Source organism: Homo sapiens, chromosome 6 (genome assembly GCF_000001405.40).
Source record: "Homo sapiens chromosome 6, GRCh38.p14 Primary Assembly".
Classification (NCBI taxonomy): Eukaryota; Metazoa; Chordata; class Mammalia; order Primates; family Hominidae; genus Homo; species Homo sapiens.
In genome coordinates this window covers 32,802,088-32,818,886 of record NC_000006.12, presented here as the reverse complement: position 1 = coordinate 32,818,886, position 16,799 = coordinate 32,802,088, and the positions used below count along the sequence as shown (strand labels likewise).

Below are 16,799 nucleotides of genomic sequence, written 5' to 3'. Positions count from 1 at the left end.
ATCATTCCAGTGTAACAGTCCTCACAAGGAGGAAGGCAGAAGGGCAAAAGTGCCAAGCTATTGCCTCCAGCCCTTCTATTTTTATTGATTGACTGATTGATTGATTGAGACAGGGCCTCGTTCTGTTACCCATGCTGGAGTACAGTGGTGCATTCATGGTTCACTGCAACTTTGAACTTCTGGGCTCAAGTAGTCTTCCCACCTCAGCCTCCAAAGTAACTAAGACCACAGGTGCATGCCACCATGTTTATTTCTTTAATTTTTTAAATTTTATTTGGACATGGGGGTCTCACTATGTTTTCCAGGCAGGTCTCTAACTCCTAGCCTCAAGCAATCTTCCTCCTCAGCCTCCCAAAGTGCTGGGATTACAGGCATGAGCCATCATCCCTGCTCTCTCTAGCCCTTTTTAAAGTCTCTAATCCCATTCAGGAGGCCTCTGCATTCATGACTTAATCACCTCCTAAAGGGCCCACCTTTTGATACTATCACATTGGTGATTAAATTGCAACACTTGAATTTTGAGTGACATTCAGACCACAGCATTTTGGAGAAAATGTCCCCTTTCTTCTCTTTTTTCTCTTCAGTTTCTCCTTTCTACAGATACCTTGCACTTCACTTGCAACCTTGTTGAAGTCTCTCCTGTCTTAAAAGTTTCTTTTCCCAAAACACCAGAACTCATTCCTTCTGTCTAACTGTAACTTTGTACTTGTTACCAACCTCTACCCATTTCTACCCCTGACTCCCCAGCCTCTGGTAACTCCTAACGTACTCTTTACTTCGATGAGGTCAACTTTTTTAGATTCCACATATGAGTGAAATCACGTAATATAGTCCTTCTGTTCTTGGCTTATTTCACTTAACATAGAGCCCTCCAGGTTCACCCATGTTGTTGAAAATGACAGGATTTCATGCTTTTTTATGGCGGAATAGTATTCCATCATGTATATATATCACATACTAATTACCCTGATTTGATCAATACACAATGTATAGGTGTGTTGGAACATCATGCTGTACCCCATAAATATGTACAATTATTACGTGTCAATTTAAAAAACCCAAGAAAAGTATTTTTTCTTAGTGTTGTTTTTTTCTAAAGTGTATCCCATTTTTTCCTTTGTTTTCACTTTCAAAATTCTTGAAAGACTGTTTTAATCTGCGGCCTTTGTTTTCTTGTTTCCAATTCATTCTTTTGAAATATGGCTTCTACCTTTAACACTCTGCTGTCCTCTTGAAGGTTATTGGTGCCCTACTAACCATAAAACACAATAATGCTCTCTTAGATTGTATCCTGGTGAGCCTTTTTGCAAAATTTTATTCTTTGAGAATTCTCTTTCCATGTTTTCTTTTCTTTTCTTTTTTTGTGGTCATTTTGGCTTATAGGAAATCGTACTCTCCAAATGTTCTCTATGTCTTCTATTTCTTCTCTGATAATCCCTTTACTAAATCTTCTTGAGGCATATGCTTCAGAATGCTTAATTTACATACTCTTAATTCCTTCTTAATTTACACACTGCCTGTCGGCAATGTCAACACCCAATAAGAAGGGAGACCTATTGGTCAGAACAGGCCAGGGAATAGAAGAATACATAATAAACAGTCTGCCTAGTTCTTCTAGGGCCCCATAATATGTCAAACATATATTTTTACTTCTTCTCCCAGCCCATTTTTAGTATACCTAAATTACTGTCAGTGATTCTGCAGGCAAACAATGGTTGAGTTGTATGACACAACTTTGTGAAAGTATCCTACCCAGTACCTGATGATGCAAAACTCTTCTATCTTGATTGGTTGTCAATCTGAGGAGTTTCCAATCCTGGGGAAGCCAGAAAAACAGCGATTTATACTCTTAATGGGTACTTTCTGACTGAATTTTATGAGCTCATTCTGAAGAGGCTGACGATTTTACTATCTCATTTTTTTCCTTTCTCCAGAATGGGTTCTGGGTGGGTCCCCTGGGTGGTGGCTCTGCTAGTGAATCTGACCCGACTGGATTCCTCCATGACTCAAGGCACAGACTCTCCAGGTAAGAACAGAGCAATTGTTTTTTTCCAGTGTGTATGCAAGAATTGGCATGGGGGAGTGATGCCTTTCTTTGTAAGTCCAGGCCACAGACCAGACTGGAAGTGGCTTTTGGTTTCAAAGAACAGTGTTCTTCCCTTTGGCAGAAAGGTACGCCTTGCCTCTTTACATGGGATGGACTTCATATACCAGAGCCACCTATTCAAGGGGTAGGGAGGCAGGAAGAGGGAAACATTGTGTCTTGTTTAGGATCCTTATTGTGTGTATCAACCTCAGTCAGTGCCTGGGCGTGTTGAAGGCCTTGGCTTGGGTTCGAGCCTGCTGGGAGAAACAACCTGCAGTAGGCTGGGTCACAGAGGCAATCTGTGATTTTTTGGTCAGGACACGGAAACAAATCTCAGTTGGGGTATATGTGGACAAATGAAACTGGAAACAAAGGTTGCTCCTTCTGTCATTTATTAAGCCACTATTATATTGTCAGAATTGTACTAAACAGTTTTGAGAAGTAAGAGAAGTTGAATAGAATACATTGTCCTTGTCCTCCGGCTACCAGGTACAAGTTACTTGTCACTGTTATTTTTCTAGCACAGGTGACAGAATATGCAGCCATGAAGCAATGTGAGATGAAAGCACATATTAATGAGCAGAAACAGGATGTAATGTGCTAAGAACAGAATCCCCTTTGCATGTTAGTTTCATTAAATACAAAAGAGGAACAAACCTGGCCAGGAGAGATCATTATTCTCAGAGAATAGAAACCGCCCTGAGTTTATAATGTCCATTAAACAATACAACTGAAAAAAAAATCAGCACAGATGTTAAATGATGATGAAAAATTCAGATTTCCCCCCTGGTTTAGACTACTAGAGGAAATAGAGAAGAGTATACATGCTGAGAAATTACAGGCTGGAACTTCATCTGAAATTAGCTACTGAGTGAGGGATAAGTGGGGTTCACCCAGGAAGGTCATTCTTATGGCTCAGTTCAGAGTTGGAGGAGGCTTCTGAACTTAGAAAGGAAAGTAAATTACAACCCAACATTAATAGCAATTATCTTTCAAGTCTTGACTTAGATGCAATGTCTTCAGGACGTCCTTCCTGACTTACCTACATTATTAACTCCATTTGAATTTCCTTTTTATTGTAGTTGTTGTTCTTAAGTGCATAGGATTGGTTTAATTTTACCCAATGAGTTCACAGCACATTGTAATTATTGGCAGTAGTGCAAGACTCTCTCGTCTCTTCTCTTGCCTCCGTTCTCATTCTCTCCCCTCCCTAGAGAATCCATTCTAAACGTGTCTGGTAAGTCTCTAAGTATGAGAGTGGCTTTTAGAAATATGTAGCATTATTGCTCTTTATGTGTTTTTAAAATTTAATAAATGTCATTCTCTGTTGAATCCCATTCTGTTTCTTTTCTCACTTGACACTGTGCTTTTTGAGCATACTGAGGTCAAAGGCCTCCTCTTAGATCCATGTGGTCTGACGTAATTTACCAGGCATGGGTTTTCCCAGAGGAGGGGGCTGGTTCATGGTTTTGGTTTTGGTTTTCCAGAAGATTTTGTGATTCAGGCAAAGGCTGACTGTTACTTCACCAACGGGACAGAAAAGGTGCAGTTTGTGGTCAGATTCATCTTTAACTTGGAGGAGTATGTACGTTTCGACAGTGATGTGGGGATGTTTGTGGCATTGACCAAGCTGGGGCAGCCAGATGCTGAGCAGTGGAACAGCCGGCTGGATCTCTTGGAGAGGAGCAGACAGGCCGTGGATGGGGTCTGTAGACACAACTACAGGCTGGGCGCACCCTTCACTGTGGGGAGAAAAGGTGAGCTGGAAGCTGAGGTCTGGCGGGGCTCAGGAATGTCCCCCATGTGAACCTGGCCATGGCTCTTCTTTCTTACAAGCAATTTTCTGCTTTAGGATAAATGGTTGTCTGTGTAGATGTTCTGGCCCCAGCTGTGATATATTATCCTCACAAGTCAGCCACTGTGATCTTGGTCTCAGACCCCCAAGGTTCTCAGGGACTTCGAGGGCTATTGTGCCCTCAAAGAGAAGCAGTAATTGTGGGAGTACCTCAGAAAGTCTAAATCCTCCTGACAGGCATTGACATACCCTGTTACTGATCTTGGGGGCTGAGACTTGCCTATACTTTGTGTTCACTTGGGTGATCTGGGAAAGAGATTAGACATAGTGATAGTCCCTAAAGAATCTCCTGTCCCAGCTTGGTGGTTTTCTTTCACGGTGTCTCATTTTTCCTCCCTTCCTAGTGCAACCAGAGGTGACAGTGTACCCAGAGAGGACCCCACTCCTGCACCAGCATAATCTGCTGCACTGCTCTGTGACAGGCTTCTATCCAGGGGATATCAAGATCAAGTGGTTCCTGAATGGGCAGGAGGAGAGAGCTGGGGTCATGTCCACTGGCCCTATCAGGAATGGAGACTGGACCTTTCAGACTGTGGTGATGCTAGAAATGACTCCTGAACTTGGACATGTCTACACCTGCCTTGTCGATCACTCCAGCCTGCTGAGCCCTGTTTCTGTGGAGTGGAGTGAGAATTAGTTTCTAGTACTCTCTGGGCCTGACTCAGGACTATACTGACTCAATACAGAGCCTGTGTCACTTCTGCGTTTATCTTGGTCACAACATGAATTATTCTTTCCCTTGATCTGGGACAGTCACAGAAACCAGAGTCCTTGGGTTAGGGTGGGAGAAAACATGGCAGATATCTATCCTCATATCTTCCAAGAAATGAGGAGATCTAATCACCTCATTATGTGCTTCCAACCCTATGAACTGGTGTCCTCTAATTCTTTGGTCTTAGTATTTAGGAGGCATTCTTATGGGCTGTGAGAATCTGTAACCGATGGGGGGTAACTCCATGGGTGCCAACTTTGGTTTCGAAGAACCTTTTCTAAATTTATTTATTTTTCTCTAGCTAGCATTGGATTTGGTGTCTAGTACAGATTCTGGGATTCCAAGAAAGTGCTTTAAATATTGGGATATTTTTACTAATTTAAAGACCTGTTTCCCATAGGAGCTCAGTCTGAATATTCTTGGAGAAAGATGCTGAGTGGCATTGCAGCCTTCCTACTTGGGCTAATCTTCCTTCTGGTGGGAATCGTCATCCAGCTAAGGGCTCAGAAAGGTAATGAGCCTGTGAGGAGTGCCCTGCCACCTGTCCCAGACCTTCCCCACTCCCACCTTCCCTAACGTCAATGATCTGAGGCAAGGAAAGCTGATTGTGCCTCTCAGGGATCACCGGGATAATTTTTTTCTGAAGCTAGAAATGGGATAAGCAGAGAGAGTGCTGACCTTGCCAGCCATTTGTTCTTCCCTCGGGATAATCATATTGGGTCCTAATTGGGGCAATCCATTCTTTTCTCGATTTCTTTCCAGGATATGTGAGGACGCAGATGTCTGGTAATGAGGTAATGTCTCTTTTTCCTTGTCTTTGAGTGGCAGATCATTCTCCCGGTTCTTTGGCCAGAGGGAGATGACATGGGGGTAGGGAGGAGTAAGGTTGCTGCTGTCTGGATGGGACTGTCCCCTGAGTCTCTGGAACGGCTGTGGGGGGTGGTGAGGCTGCCTCCTGAGACCTTCATCACTGTGCCTCCAGGTCTCAAGAGCTGTTCTGCTCCCTCAGTCATGCTAAGGTCCTCACTGAAGCTTCTCTCTCTGGAGCCTGAAGTAGTGATGAGTAGTCTGGGCCCTGGGTGAGGTAAAGGACATTCATGAGGTCAATGTTCTGGGAATAACTCTCTTCCCTGATCCTTGGAGGAGCCCGAACTGATTCTGGAGCTCTGTGTTCTGAGATCATGCATCTCCCACCCATCTGCCCTTCTCCCTTCTACGTGTACATCATTAATCCCCATTGCCAAGGGCATTGTCCAGAAACTCCCCTGAGACCTTACTCCTTCCAGCCCCAAATCATTTACTTTTCTGTGGTCCAGCCCTACTCCTATAAGTCATGATCTCCAAAGCTTTCTGTCTTCCAACTGCAGTCTCCACAGTCTTCAGAAGACAAATGCTCAGGTAGTCACTGTTTCCTTTTCACTGTTTTTAAAAACCTTTTATTGTCAAATAAAATGGAGATACAAAAAATGTACATTTTAGTGAATTATTTAAGAAAAACCCCTGTAATCAAGTCAAGGAACAGGACTTTGCCAGCTCCAGCGGAAGTCTCTGTACGTCAGGCCAATCAAAGCCTCTCCTTCCCCTCGAAAGTGACCATATCCTGATTTTATTGTAACCTCTTTCATGTCTTTGTAGTCTAGTCCCCCAGGTATGTGTTCCTGGACGCCACAGCTTAGTTGTCTTTTACGTCTCTCATACTTCACTGGTTTCTCCCCCATCAGCCTTTTTTTCCCCCTTATGATTAATCTGTTGAAAAGCTCAATCCATTTGACCTGTAGAGTTTCCCACACTCTGGATTTTGCTGGCTGCGTACACATGGTGCAGTGTAACACATCCTCTGCCTTCTGTGCCTCCCGCAAATTGGCATCTGGATGCAGAGGCTGGATCAGACTCTGGTTCAATCTTTTCCTTTGGAAAATCTATACGTGGTGTTGTGGCCTTTCACCATGAGAGACATAATTTCCAGCTGTTTCTTTTTGTGATGTTAGCAACCATTGATACTAATTGCTTAGGTCTGTTAATTTATTGGGGATTGCTAAATGGTGGTATTCTGTCATTTTTTCTTCATTTATATGCTTTATTAATGCTACAAAGAGACAGTTCCCTTCATTTACTAGTGAAGAGACACTTCCCTCCACTTACTAGTGGGCTACTTAGTGGTACAGTGGAAAGGCAGGATCAGTGTTTGACTCTCCTTTTATTTACCAGTTTTCAAGTTAGCAAATTGGTTTCCTACTATTAATAAAACCTACAGATGGCCAATCAGGTTTTACTTTTCATTCTTTAAATAATTATAAACAGAAGGATTTAAATGTTTGATAGGTTTTACTCTATTGCAATTTTTATGCTTGTTAAAGCTTATATCCTACATTTTTGGTGAGTGAAAACTTCTTCAAGTGGCTAAAAATGAAACTGAGTTCTTTTGACGCAAATTTCTTTTGATAATTTCTTTGTTATCTGGGATGACAACATGTTTCTGGTTCATCTTGTTCATTTCTTGGCCAGACCTGGAGGTAGCCATTTTTCCAGAAATCCCTGGTTTAGTTTAGTGGGAAATGACATTTAAGACTATAATCCAGCGTTAGGGTGTTTTGTCCCACTGAACCCGCTGCTGGAGTCACCTCAAAAGTGGCGTCAAGGGAGTTACCACAAGGAAGTTCCTGAAACCATTCTGAGATGGTGTGGGTTAGGATTCAAAGAAAGAAGCACTAAATGCCAGGGTGATCAGTCCAAAACATTTGTTTAGGGAATTTACCTACAGAGGGCTTCAGGAGTCCTTGCAGACAGCAAGAGAAAAGGGATGTTCTGCCTAGGTATGTCTGCAGCGAGGGGGTCAGGGTATGGAGCTTATATGAAGGTTTAAGGAACCTGGCTCAGGGCTGGGACAAAGTTTCAGTGTTTAGAGAAACAACCTAGATACGTTTATCAGTGCCTGGGAGTGTTCAAGGCCTTGGCTTGGGTTCGAGCCTGCTGGGAAAAACCTGCAGCTGGCTGGGTCACAGAGGCATTCTGTGATTTTTCGGTCAGGACATGGAAAGAAAGCAGGGAGAGGGGCAGTGGGGGAGCCTAAATAGATAGGAATGGTCATTGTGTCCAGCCTGTTCAATGGCAATAAAACATTTATACATGTATACATTTAAAAAAATCAGTCATCCAGGCACGGTGGCTCACGCCTGTAATCCCAGCACTTTGAGAGGCCGAGGCGGGCGAATCACGAGGTCAAGAGATTGAGACCATCCTGGGCAACACGGTGAAACCCCGTCTCTACTAAAAATACAAAAATTAGCTGGGTGTGGTGGCACGCGCCTGTAGTCCCAGCTACTCGGGAGGCTGAGGCAAGAGAAGCGCTTGAACTTGGGAGGTGGAGGTTACAGTGAGCCAAGATTGTACCACTGCACTGCGGCCTGGTGACAGAGCAATACTCCATCTTAAAAAAAAATCAGTCTTCTCTATATTACTTCTGCATCTCCTTTCTTTTATACCAAGAACTCTGGTTTTCAAGGACACAGGGACAGACACAATTAGAATGTCCATACTTATTTGCTTTTCCTGAGTTAACATAGACAGCAGTCTAAGGATAATAACACTCATACACAACCACCAAAATGGCTACTGAAAACGGTTGAAATTCTTTTTACCTACATTCTCCCTATTACCTGTGTTCTCCCTTTTTACCTATGTTCTCCCCCGCTTTCTAGTTGAACTATGTCTATATTAGTTGATCCTGTACCATTGCATAGACTACTTGCTCCCTTGTTAGTCTTAGTTCTGTGAGTAGAGATATGTTTAATGCTCACCATCATTCCTTATGTTGATATCCCTGTCATGTGGTGGTTTTCAAGGTGTGGTCCATGGATTCCTGGGGGTCCCTGGGACCCTTCAAGGGGCCTATGAAGTCAAGCTATTTTTGTACTAATACTAAGATGTTATTTGCCTTTTTCACTGTATTATTTACATATTGGTACAGAAATCTATGGTGGTCACGTGAAACTGTTAGTGCCTGAGCACAAATCAAGGTGGTGACACCAAGCTGTACAGGTAGGTCATGTTCTTCACTGCCATAAGCTTACAGTAAAAAAAAAAAAAAAAAAAAAAGCAAAAGCCAGTGACCTTGATGAAGCAATAAAATCATTAGTTTACTAAATTTTAAACCTCAAGCACACATCTGTTTAATAGTCAGTGTAAGAACATAGGCAGCATTTCTGGTGCATACTGATGGAAAGGCAGTTGTCCTGTGGAAAAGCCATTATGTAATTGCATGAGTTGTGAGTGAAGTTAAACATTTTTTTTTTAGTGGGTCATCATTTTCCTTGAAAGAATGACTGAAAGGCACACTGTGATTATTCAGACTTGGGTATTTGGTAGAAATTTTCTCAAAAATAAACAAAATGAGCCTATCCCATCAAAGAAAATAATATTGACAGTGGAAATTGGAATTTCAAGAGAAAATTAAAATTTTGGAAAACTTACGTGTGCCACAGCTTCTCACTACTTAAAGATGTTTCTGATGAGATTGGTGGTGATATTAACAAATATGGCTTAAAAAATATTGTTTAATAAAATATGTCAACATTTTAAAAATCTGCGTAAACCCATGAATCAATAATTTACAAATAATCAATGCATGATATTGCAAAGTCATGCATAAAGATCCATTTAAAGATAGACTAGTGAATTTTAACACAACAGAATATGAAAAGTTAATATATAAGGTTTCAGATTCCACACTGCAACTAACCTTTAAGAATCTGCCATTTCTTGAGTTTTGGTGTCTTATCAAGGAAGAACAGTTACGATAGCTGAAATGGTTATGGAAACTTTCCTTCTTTTCCCAACTGTGTATAAGAGTGAGGCCAGATTTTCCTCTTGTGCTTTAGCCAAAACAACATATTGTTACAGCTTGAATGTAGAAGAATATATAACCAAGCTAGCTTTATTAAGCCAGACATTAAAGAGATTTTTACAAATGTAAAATAATTCCTTTTTTTTCACTATTTTTTTGTGCTGGAGAAGACAGCTATTTTCCATAAAAGTGTGTTGTTTATGTTAACATGTAATGGGTTTGTTATTGTTATTTAATAACAAATAAATTAATATAAATGTCACTTTACATAACCCATGTAAACTAAAGCTTCTTGGTGTTCTCAACAATTTTATGAATAAAAAGGGATCCTGATATCAAAAGAATTATAAGCTACTGATGTAGTCATCATGATTGTTTGAAACTATTTCTCCTAGGTGCCTCAGGAAGACTTAGGAAAGTGTCTTAGTTTGTATGAGCTGCTATAACCAACTACCAGAGACTGGATGGCTTAAAAACAGCAGAAATGTATTTTTCACAGTTCTGGAGGCTGGAGGTCTGAGATCAGTGTGTCAGCCTGGTAGGGTTCTGGTGAAGGCCTGCTGGCAGCATCTTCTCACTAAGACCTCATGTGGCAGAAGGAAAGGGAGCTATCTGGAATCTCCCTTATAAGGGCCCTAATGCCATTCATAAGGGCTGCACCCTCATGACCTAATCACCTTCCAAAGGCGTCACCTCCTGGTACTGTCACCTTGGGCGTTACGATTTCATCATATGAATTTTGGGACGGCATATACAGTCCACACCAGGAAGTTCTTGCACTTCATAGTCGAAAGTCAGTTTTGTGGCTATAAAAATCTTGGTTCCATTTTCCGCTCTTGAGTATCTTAAAAAGTTACTACATTTTCACATAACTGCTATCAAAAAGTCTGATGATAATCTAATTATTAATAAGTCATTGCTACTTTTGCTGAGTATCCAGATGGTATTTTCTTTTTCTTTAGTATCCACAAGTTTTATTGGAATGTATCTTGGTTGGGGGGAGGGCAAGATCGCTGACTAGATGCAGCCAGGTGAAACAGTTCTCAATGAGGAACCCAGATGACTGGCGTGCTCCTAACAGATGTTCAGACAGAAGGCACCTAGAGTGGACAGAGGGAAGACACAGAAGCTGGACTGAAGTGGGAGAAAGCTGGGAGCCCTACATGGGGCTACAGCACATCCAGACTCATTCCTGTCCTCCAATGGCTCCAGGAAAATGGGTGAGTTGAACTGGCAAGGAACAACCCACTGTCACTATGACCTCTGCAACCATGGCAGGAGGAGACCCATTGACCACCATGGACACTTGAGTTGGCAGGAAGAGCTGCTTAGAGAAGCCGTAGGGGTGGCAAGCCAGCGGGTGTGGAGCCTAGAGGATTCAGTGCAGGAGCATCTGCAGTGGAGCATGGCCAGGGATGGCCATTTCCCTAGGCTCAACTTACTCCCATAGGAGACATTAGCCCTAGGGAAACTGTTGGTCCTGAAATCTGTAGGGTGGTCTTGCCCATCAGATGAGTCTGGTTCTACCTGAGCAACCGTTGGTCTTCTGGCCTCTCCTGGGGCCCTGGCCTGGCCACATCTGCTTGCAAAGCAGCCTCAGGTGCTCTGTGGGCCTGCACCATAGCTTCTACACTGGCAGACCATGACTGACCAGTAAGTGGAGAGCTCCAACGAGGAGGCCCCTATGACCAGGCACCAGCCTGCATGCTCCCTCCCCACACTGCAGCTTCCTCTGGGCCCACAGCAACTCCCCACATCATTTTGCTGGTACATGTCTGCTGGGTGGGTTTTGTTTTCCTTGCCTCACCAGCATATAGGAGTGTAATTCACCCCCCACCAATTCCCTCCTGACAGCCATTGCAGACAGAGCCTTGGTGGGCACAGAGCCAGCCAGCCCCACTCCCTCCATCATCCCACCCTGTGCTAACACTGTGCAGAGAACAGCTGATCCTCCCCCACCCTGAGTGACCACTCCTGCACAGAAAAGGCACGCAGACCTGCACCTGCCAATGCCTTGCCCCTAAGCCAACACCACTTCCTGTGTGACCACACACACAGTTGCCAGCAGGGGACCCCCTTCCTTTCCTGCAGTTGCATTGCCTCTGCCACTGTGGTGGATGCCTGCAGGGAGGTGGGCACCCCGGCACCTGCTAGTACTCTGCTGCAGCTTCAACTACCACTGCTGCTGGTACACTCAAACAAGGACAGATCCTCCTGTCACTGTACTATGAAACACTTTGGCTGACACCACTCATTGGAGTGTAGTGACCAGTGGTCTGGGAGCACTTCGGACTGCACCACTCCTGCCACCTCCCCCACCCCCCGCCCATCACAGCGGATTCCTAATTCTGAGGAAACAGAGAACAAAGTCAGGGCCCCGTACAAGTCCCAAAGAATTACAGCATGCAGTCCAGGAGTTGGGAGTGGAATACTGGCCAAATAAAATTGTCCAGAAATGAAGTCAGTTGGCTGAATCCACCTTATACCACAATCAAACCCTCAAAGTCATCAAATAGGATAAATAGGATAAATAAAAAAGGTTGGATGATCTTTGCTGTCCAAAGGTCAGCAGTCTCAAAGATTAAAGGAAAATAAGCCCACAAAGATGAGAAAGAATCAGGCAAGAACCTTGACAACTCAAAAAGCCAGAGTGTCTTCTGTTCTCCAAACGACCACATCACCTCTCGAGCAAGGATTCTGAACTGGGCTGAGATGGCTGAAATGACAGATATGTAATTCAGAATAAGGATAGAAATGAAGATCATTGAGCTACAGAAGTACATTGAAACCCAATCCAAGGTAGCTAAAAATTATGATAAAACAATGCAGGAGCTGATAGATAAAATAGCCAGTATAGATAAGGACATAACCAATTTGATAGAGCTGAAAAACACACTATAAGAATTTCATAATGCAATCACAACTATTAATAGCAGAACTGACCCAGTGGAAAAAAGAATCTCCACACTTCAAGACTGGCTTTCTGAAATAAGATAGTCAGACAAGAATAGAGAAAAAAGAATGAAAAGGAAGGAACAAAACTTCTGAAAAATATGAGATTATGTAAACAGACCAAATCTATGACTCATTGGTGTTCCTGAGAGAGATGGGGAGAATGAAACCAACTTGGAAAACATATTTCAGGGTATCATCCATGAGAATCTCCCCAACCTAGCTGGAGAGGCCAACATTAAAATACAGGAAATGCAGAGAACCCCAGTAAGATACTTCACAAGAAGATCATTCCAAAGGCACATAATTATCAGATTCTCCAAGGTTGAAATGAAAGAAAAACAGTTGGCAGCTAGAGAGAAAGGCCAGGTCACCTACAATGAAAAGTCCATCAGACTAACAGTGGACCTGTCAGAAGAATCTCTACAAGCCAGAAGAGACTGGGGCCAACATTTATTATTCTTAAAGAAAATAATTTCAACCCAGAATTTCATATCTGGCCAAACTAATCTTCAAAAGTGAAGGAGAAATAAGAACCTTTTCAGAGAAGGAAATGCTGAGGGAATTTCATTACCACTAGACTTGTCTTACAAGAGCTCCTGAAGGAAGCACTAAATATGGAAAGGAAAGACTTACTAGCCACTACAAAAACACACTGAAGTACACAGACCAGTGACACTATAAAGCAACCACATAAACAAGTCTGCAAAATAACCAGCTAACATCATGATGACAGGATGAAATCCACACATATCAATACTAATCTTAAATGTAAATGGGCTAGTGCCCCAATTAAAAGGCACAGAGTGGTAATCTGGATAAAGAACCAAGGCCTATTAGTATGCTGTCTTCAAAAGACTCATGTGTGTCATGCAGTGACACACATAGGATCAAAATAAACAGATGGAGAAAAATCTACCAAGCAAATGGAAAACAGAAAAAAGCAGGGGTTGCAATACTAGTTTCAGACAAAACAGACTTTAAACCAACAAAGATCAAAAAAGATGAAGAAGGGCATTACATAATGGTAAATGGTTCAATTCGACAAAAGATCTAAGTATTCTAAAAATATATACCTCCAAAAGAGGAGCACCCAGATTCATAAAGCAAGTTCTTAACGACCTTCAAAGAGACTTAGACTCCCACACAATGATAGTGGGAGACTTTGACACCACATTGACAATGTTAGACAGATCATCAAGACAGAAAATTAACAAAGATACCCAGGACCTGAACTCAGCTCTGGATCAAATGAACCTGATAGACATCTTATAGAACTTTCCACCCCAAAAAGACAGAATATACATTTTTCTCATTGTCACATGGCACATACTCTAAAATCGATCACATAATTAGAAGTAAAACACTCCTCAGCAAATGCAAAAGAACTGATCATAAGAAAAAATCTCTTGGACCACAGCACAATCAAATTAGAAACCAAGACAAAAAAGTTCACTCAAAACCGTACAATTACATGGAAATTAAATAACCTGCTCCTGAATGACTTTTGGGAAAATAATGAAATTCAGGCAGAAATCAAGAAACTCTTTGACATGAGTGAGAACAAAGATACAACACATTAGAAGCTCTGGGACACAACTAAAGCAGTGTTAAGAAGGAAATTTATAGCACTAAATGCCAACATCAAAAACTTAGAAAGATCTCAATTTAACAACCTAACATAATAACTAAAAGAACTAGAGTATCACAGCCAACCAATCTCAAGGCTAGCAGAAGACAAGAAATAACCAAAATCCAGAACTGAATGGAAGGAGATTGAGACACAAAAATGATTCAAAAGATCAATGAATCCAGGAGCTGGTTTTATGAAATAATTAATAAAATAGATGGACTTCTAGCTAGACTAATAAAGAAGAAAAGAGAGAAGGATTCAAATAAACACAATTAGGAATGACAAAGGAGGTATTACCACTGACCCCACAGAAATACAGACAACCATCAGAGAATATTATGAATACTTCTATGACATAAAGTAGAAAATCTAGAAGAAATGGATAAATTCCTGGGCACATACACCCCCTAAGACTGAACTAGGAAGAAATTGAATCTATGAACAGACTAATAATGAGCTCTGAAATTGAGTCAGTAGTAAATAGCCTACCAAAACAAAACAAAACAAAACAAAACAAAACCCAGGACCAAATGGATTCACAGCTGAATTCTATCAGGTGTACAAAGAAGAAATGGTACCATTCCTGCTGAAACTATTTCAAAAAATTGAGGAGAAGAGACTCCTACCTAACTCATTCTATGAAGCTAGCATCATCTAAATACCAAAACCTGGCAGAGACACAACAAAAGAAGAAAGCTTCAGGCCAATATCCTTGATAAACATTGATGCAAAAAATCCTCAACAAAATACCAGCAAACCGAATCCAGCAGCACATCCAAAAGCCAATCTACCATGATCAAGTAGGCTTTATCCCTGGGATATGAGGTTTGTTCAACATATAAAAATCAGTAAATGTGATTCATCACATAAACAGAACTAAAGACAAAACCCACATGATTATCTCAATAGATGCAGAAAAGTCTTCTGATAAAATTCAACACTCCTTCATGTTAAAAACTCTTGATAAACTAGTTATTGAAGGAACATACGTCAAAATAGTAAGAGCCATCTATGACAAACCCGCAGCCAACATCATACTGAATGGGCAAAACCTGGAAGCATTCCCCTTGAAAACTGGCAGAAGACAAGAATGCCCCCTCTCATTACTCCTATTCAACATAGTACTGGAAGTCCTTGCCAGGGCAATCAGGCAAGAGAAAAGAATAAAGAGCAGCCAAATAGGAAAAGAGGAAGTCAAAGTATTCCTGTTTGCAGATGACATGATCATATATCTAGAAAACCCTATCGTCTCAGCCCAAAAACTTCTTAAGTTGATAAACAACTTCAGCAAGGTCTCAGGATACAAAATCAATGTGCAAAAATTACTAATATTTCTATACACCAACAACAGTCAAGCCTAGAGCAAAATCAGGAATGCAGTCCTATTCACAATTGCCACAAACAGAATAAAATACCTAGGAATACAGCTAACCAGGGAGGTGAAAGATCTCCACAAGAAGAACTAAAAAGCACTGCTCAATGAAATCAGAAATGACACAAACAAATGGAAAAACATTGCATGCTCATGGATAGGAAGAAACAATATCATCAAAATGGCCATACTGCCCAAAGCAATTTATAATTCAATGTTATTCCTATTAAACTACAATTGAGATGCTTCACAGAACTAGTAAAAACTATTTTAAAATGCATATGGAACCAAAAAGGATACATAGATACAAAATAAGGACATGAAAACATGTGCAATGTCATTAGCCATTAGAGAATTACAAATTAAAACCACAATAAGATATTACTATATACCTATCATGATGGCTAAAAATAAAAAGTAGGCACAATACCAAATCCTGGTGAGGATGCAGAGAAAATAGATCACTCACATTTGGCTGCTGGGAATGTAATATAGTACAGCCACACTGGAAAATAGTTTGGCATTTTCTTTAAAAGCAAAACATGCAACCACCATACAACCCAGCAATTGCACTCCTGAGCATTTATCCCAGAGAAATGAAGACTTATGTTCAGAGAAAAATCTGCACATGTATGCTCATAGCAGCTTTATTCAGACAAAAACTGGAAACAAACTGTGGTATATCCATACTAGGAAATACTACTTAGCAATAAAAACGAACAAACTGGATACAGGCACCACGACCTGGATGAATCACCAGGGAATTATGCTGAGTGAAAAAAAAAATTGCAAAATGTTGTCTACTAAATGATTCCACTTACATAACACTCCTGGAATGCCAAAACTATAGAGATGGAAATTAATAATTGCTGTGTTAATGAAGAAGTGGAAATGGGAGGGAAGTGGCTGTGGCTACAAAAGGGCAAAATGAGGGATATTATAGTGATGAAAGTGTTCTTTATTTTAATTATATCAATGTCAATATCCAGACTGTGATAATTTACTGTAGTTTACAAGATGTTATCCTTGGGGGAAACTGGGTAAAATGTACATGAGATATCTCTGTAACATTTCTTAAAAGTGTCTGTGAATCAACAATTATATCAAAATAAAAAGTATAATTTAATACAGCATCTTAACATTTTCAACAAAACTAAGTGTCAAAGTATCCCCATAAACCTCAAATACAAATTGGTGAGGACAAACCACTAGTAGTTGCACGTTATTAATTTTTCCTGTTATGGATTATGCCTTTGGTGTCAAGTCTAAAAGCTTTTTGCTTAATCCTAGATCCTGAAGATTTTCTCCTGAGAGTTTTGTGACTTTATGTTTTACATATTAGACTT

General features: G+C 41.1%; 1 protein-coding gene across 1 annotated transcript; it reads left to right on the top strand.

Moving 5' to 3' along the window:
- HLA-DOB (major histocompatibility complex, class II, DO beta) lies at positions 1,885–6,124 on the top strand. Its single transcript, NM_002120.4, has 6 exons — positions 1,885–2,026; positions 3,574–3,843; positions 4,286–4,567; positions 5,054–5,164; positions 5,416–5,447; positions 5,636–6,124. The coding sequence occupies exons 1-6, from the start codon at positions 1,936–1,938 to the stop codon at positions 5,669–5,671; spliced, it is 822 nt and encodes a 273-aa protein (NP_002111.1). The 5' UTR covers positions 1,885–1,935; the 3' UTR covers positions 5,672–6,124.

Excerpts from the sequence above, each read along its gene's own strand:
- HLA-DOB (NM_002120.4), top strand. The coding sequence starts at position 1,936 with ATGGGTTCTGGGTGGGTCCCCTGGGTGGTGGCTCTGCTAGTGAATCTG. Across the intron at positions 2,027-3,573 it reads TCAAGGCACAGACTCTCCAG|AAGATTTTGTGATTCAGGCA; the intron begins GTAAGAACAGAG and ends TTGGTTTTCCAG. Across the intron at positions 3,844-4,285 it reads CTTCACTGTGGGGAGAAAAG|TGCAACCAGAGGTGACAGTG; the intron begins GTGAGCTGGAAG and ends CTCCCTTCCTAG.